Below are 5,889 nucleotides of genomic sequence, written 5' to 3'. Positions count from 1 at the left end.
ATTGAATTTGTACACTGCTTTTGGCAGTATGATCATTTTCACAATATTGATTCTCCCCATCCATGAGCGTGGGATGTGTTTCCATTTGTTTGTGTCATCTATGATTTCTTTCAGCAGTGTTTTGTAATTTTCCTTGCAGAGGTCTTTCACCTCCTTGGTTAGGCATATTCCTAAGTATTTTATTTATTTATTTATTTGCTTATTTACTTATTTATTTTTGCAGCTATTGTAAAGAGGATTGAGTTTTTGGTTTCATTCTCAGCTTCGTCCCTATTGGTGTATAGCAGTGCTACTGATTTGTGTACATTGATTTTGTATCCTGAAACTTTACTGAATTCATTTATGAATTCTAGGAGCTTATTGGATGAGCCTTTAGGGTTTTCTAAACTCAAGTTTGTATTTTCATAATGTTACTCCTTTATCATAGGAATCTTTCAAGTTTATTCACATTTGCATCCTGCTAAATGACAATTCTATGTCTTCACTCTATGTTCAATTGATTCCATCATTTTCTGGCAGTCATTTAGGCCTCAAGTTTTCTTTTCTAAGATTTATTCATTTTAAATTAATCTATACAATGAACAACAAATTCTTTGTAGAGTTTGTTTGTTGGTTTGCTTTTAGTAAGATACTTCTAAGGCCTTGCATATCTGGAAATTGTCTTTCTATTGCTTTCAAATTTAAATAGCAAATTTACTTTTGAGTTACAATCTTTTCTCCTCAAAATTGTATATGGGCAGTTTCCTCCAGGATATACTGTGAAATGAAAAAGCCAGGTAGAGAAATGTGTCTATATCATACCACCATTTCTCTAAAAAAAAGGGGAGATACGAGAGACTGGAGACGTCCAGCTTCAGAGCAGGAACCTTAGTTGCGCCAGCAACGAAAAACAGAACTAAATATGGGTGATGTTGAGAAAAGCAAGAAGATTTTTGTTCAGAAGTGTGCCCAGTGCCACACCGTGGAAAAGGGAGGCAAGCATAAGACAGGGCCTAATCTCTTCGGGTGGAAGACAGGTCAGGCCATTGGATTCTCTTACACAGACACCAGTAAGAACAAAGGCATCACCTGGGGAGAGGATACACTGATGGAGTATTTGGAGAATCCCAAGAAGTACATCCCTGGAACAAAAATGATCTTTGCCGGCATTAAGAAGGAGGCAGAAAGAGCAGACTTGATAGCTTATCTCAAAAAAGCTACTAATGAGTAATAATTGGCCACTGCCTTATTTATTACAACACAGAAATGTCTCGTGACTTTTTTATGTGTACCATACTTTAATAGATCTCATACACCAGAATTCAGATCATGAATGACTGACAGAATATTTTGTTGGGCAGTCCTGATTTAAAACTAAGACTGGGTTGTGGTTAAATGAATATGTTCAGTTTTTGAATTGTAATAGTAATTCCAATTCAGTAAATGCTATCACTGTTTACCCCTACTAAAGATAGAACTAGACTTTGTTAGTAATGTTCAACTTTTCGCAAAGATGGTGAGTGCCATCTTAAAACTTACTGGAGATTGGTTTTATATTTAGATTTATATAACTGGTTATGTGAATATATTTAAATACTGGGGAAATTCCTTCACTGTCTCAGAACCAAGGAAAATTCACCTGTGTTTTGTGTTCATTTGCCTCTTAAAGGCATTGTTGAAGATAAATAAGGTAGCAATGTCTACTTTATATTTTTGGGCTTAACTGTGCCAATCTAATTAGAATTCCCTGTATTTAAAATAGTTCCTTTTATTTATTGAAAGGCATTTTAGTGTGGTTTATGTGTAATATCAAAGATTATTTAACACTTCTCACATTTTATAGATCTGTAAGGTCACATGCATTTAAAATAGTAGCAAGTTAAACTTCACTCTTGAATTCTTTACAATCTAAGTCAAACTAAGTTATAATTTAGGGTTGTCTTTAAACAGCCATTCAGAAACATAAAACTGTAGAACTGCTGTGTGTGATCGGGAATGGTGCTTTTGCCAACTCAAAAGGATTAAAGTAGAGGCGATATACACAAATTTTAAGATTATGTGTGATCATAAGACTTAAGATAATTAAAAAGAAAACCACAGGGGAAAAAAAAGAAAAGAGGAGATGCACACATGTACACAATATATCTAATTAACGTGTTAAAGACATATACATTATAATATGTTAAACTGTGTTAATTAATATAATGTGTTAATATAGTATTACATGTTGCATACTGAATAATATTAAATTAGCATATGTTAATGTTATCACACAGTAATATATTGTTTTATACATTTATTGTTATACATTATAGCATATTATATTATTGTTTGTTAAATGTATGAAATTAACATATATGTTAAAAACAGAATAAACCTTAACACTTAAAATGTTTAAATTAAAAAAGAGAGGAAATATTTTGAAAGATTCGGGGGTTGAAAACAGACTCCTTTGAATGGACCTGGTATTATAGCTCTGTCTTTGAAGCTATGTTTGTACTTTACATAATCATAAAACAAAATTAAATAAAGAAAAATACAATCCCCAGACTACAAAAGTACATTTAAACAGATGAACCAAGTTGTGAACTCAGTAGGTAACCTAACCTCACAGCAAAGGAAATAGCCCAAGTGGCTCTAAAACATAGTAATTTAACTCTGCGTCTCTAATGGAATAGATCCTAAGAACAAAAGAAAAGGCAAAGAAAGTCTTAAATTGTTTCCAGTAATAGCACAGCATTGTAGGTGATAGTGTTGATACTGTTATTGTAAGATAATAAATCAAATGAGTAATTACATCGGTGTCATCAAGAACTGAGATTTGGGGCTTGGTGGGAAGGAGATACAGACATGAAATTGATGAGGTCAAATAAAATCCCTTAAGCCTGATTTTGAATTGGATATAAACTTATGATGTACTGTATCTAAAAAAATACATATGTCCTAGCCCTGTCCACCAAAGAGTCCTAGAAATAATAACTAACTCAGGGCACGGGGCATCCCGGGTACCCAGATCGTAGTCTTTCTTCCCACGAAAAAGAACCAAAGATCTTTGATCTTCGGAGAAAGGGTTGATTCTGTATCTGAGGGAGGAAATGTGTAAGTCTGAAAACATCCTGTTGTACAAGAAAGCTATCATAGACAACTAAATTAATCCTTCATTGTTTTTTGGCACTTAATCTGAGGTCAGCCTTCATTTCTTACTTTGCAGATAGTTTATTTCCCCGTCCTGCTTGACAGTTGAAGTATTCTTTATCTTTCAGGTTATATCTAGGAGTTGGGCTCTTCATAATTTTTCTGCTGTCTGAATGGGTCTTTTATTTTTGCTAGTGGAATTTATGTAGAATGTTACTAATGCTCCTCATTTCATGATAGACCTTCATTGTTTGTGTGGTTCTTACATTATATGTTTATTTATTGCCTTTTATTCTATATACTCTTCAGTTCCTCTCTACGTCTTCCTCCCTTTGGCAACGATTTGAATGTGTTAGATGTGCGGTCTTCTATTTTCTATGTCCTTGTAAAACTAGTAGTGTTGTTTTATGCATACATATTTTTAATTCACATAAATAGCATCACGCTGTGGACCTCATTTGATTCTTACATTTTTACACTCAACTACACATTGCTCTGGGTGCATTTCATCTGTTGCTTCTGACCTGAACATCATTACACGGTGTGCATACCATGCCTTTTGCTTATCCGTGTCTCGTTGATTGAACCTAGATTCATTTAATCATAGCCTTTAAATCTCCACTACCACAAACAACACTTTGATGAACGTTCTCAGAGTTGTCACCTTAAAAACCTGTGTGAGTGATAACTTCTCTGCAAAAACATCCGTAAGTGAGAATTTTTGGTCATATGAGACCTGTATATTTAATGACGATGTATCACTGGTGTGTTCTCAATGGCTGTGCCAGTACAGTATTCACAAGCAATGCATGAGGGTTATAGTGTCCCCATCTCTGACAAGTCTTTTTCAATCTTACATCCTGACTGTGCTCTATGCAATCTTCTATATTTTTTGAGTATTTATTTACCTCTTTTGTTTGTGTCTTTTCTTTGATAATTGAAAATTATTCAACAGCTGAAAGTAAGTTATTTGTCCACTGTAGTTATCAACTTTCATTTAATATTCTTACTATTTTATCTTGTTTTCAGTTCTTAATCCTTATCATTTTTTTCTAAGAACTAGAAAGCTTCTAAAATGTATTCTTTTTATTTTCAATTAAATTTCCCTCTCTGTCAGTTCTATACTTTACTGTTTCTAATATACTATTTAAAAATATATCCTATCAAAATGTAAATTGGTACAGCCATTATGGAAAACAATATGGAGGTCCCTCAAAAAATTAAAAATAGAACTACCATATGATCATGCAATCCCACGTCTGGGTATATATCCAAAGGAAACACTGGTCATTAGAGAAATGCAAATCAAAACCACAATGAGATACCATCTCACGCCAGTTAGAATGGCAATCATTAATAAGTCAGGGAACAACAGATGCTGGAGAGGATGTGGAGAAATAGGAACGCTTTTACACTGTTGGTGGGAGTGTAAATTAGTTCAGCCATTATGGAAGACAGTGTGGTGATTCCTCAAGGATCTAGAACCAGAAATGCCATTTAACCCAGCAATCCCATTACTGGGTATATACCCAAAGGATTATAAATCATTCTACTATAAAGACACATGCACATGTATGTTTATTGCAGCACCGTTCACAATAGCAAAGACTTGGAACCAACCCAAATGCACATTAATGGTAGACTGGATAAAGAAAATGTGGCATATACACACCATGGAATACTACACAGCCATAAAAAAGGATGAGTTCATGTCCTTTGCAGGGACATGGATGAATCTGGAAACCATCATTCTCAGCAAACTAACACAGGAACAGAAAACCATACACCACAAGTTCTCACTCACAAGCGGGAGTTGAACGATGAAAACACATGGACACAGGGAGGGGAACATCACATACTGGGGCCTGTCAGGGGGTGGAGGGCTAGGGGAGGGATAAAATTAGAAGAAATACCTAATGTAGATGACAGGTTGATGGGTGCAGCAAACCACCATGGCACGCGTATACCTATGTAACAAACCTGCACATTCGGCACATGTATCCCAGAACTTAAAGTATAATAAAAAAAAAAAAAAAATGAAGTCAGTATCTCAATGAGATATTTACATTCCCATCTTCATTGCTACATTATTCACAATAGCCAAGATATAGAAAAAACCTCCATGCCCATTATCGAATAAGAAAATGCAGTAAGTATATATATGTAATATATGTAGTGGAATATTATTCACAGAAAGACAAATACTGCGTGATCTCAGTTATAGGTGGAATCTAAAAAAGTCAAACTCATAAAAGCAGAGATTAGAATGGTGGTTGCCAGGGGCTAAGGAGTTGGGGAAATGGGGAAGTGCTTGTCAAAGAGTACAAAGTTTCAATTATGCAGAAAAGTCCTGAGAATCGAATGTACAGTATGGTTACCATAGTTAATAATACTGTATTGCACACTTAAATTATGCTGACAAAGTAGATCTTAAGTGTTCTCAACACAGGGGGAAAAAAGACAACTATGTGAGGTGATGAATATGTTAACTAGATTGAGTGTGTTCATCATTTCACAATGAATATGTACATCAAAACGTCATGTTGCACACCTTAAATATATATAATTTCTATTTGTCAATTATGCTTCAAAATGCATGAGAAAAAAATTTTTGAGTTGGCTCAACTCCTAAGCCTGAACATTCTCTTAATACTACTCTCTTCAACTGCTTTGGCTTGTTTTCTTTTCCTGAATCCAGCCATATCTGATTTAATGAGAATGAGATAATTAACTGTATGTGTAAAATTTGGCTGTATAGTTATGGTGCTATTGTAG

The 5,889-nt window shown here is 34.5% G+C and overlaps 1 pseudogene; it reads left to right on the top strand.

The window, feature by feature from the left end:
* On the top strand, positions 833-1,408 carry CYCSP39 (CYCS pseudogene 39; annotated as a pseudogene).

The sequence above is a fragment of the Homo sapiens genome, chromosome 16, assembly GCF_000001405.40.
Source record: "Homo sapiens chromosome 16, GRCh38.p14 Primary Assembly".
NCBI classification, from domain to species: Eukaryota; Metazoa; Chordata; class Mammalia; order Primates; family Hominidae; genus Homo; species Homo sapiens.
The sequence above is the reverse complement of the archived record's forward strand: the minus strand, read 5'-3'. Positions and strand labels throughout refer to the sequence as shown.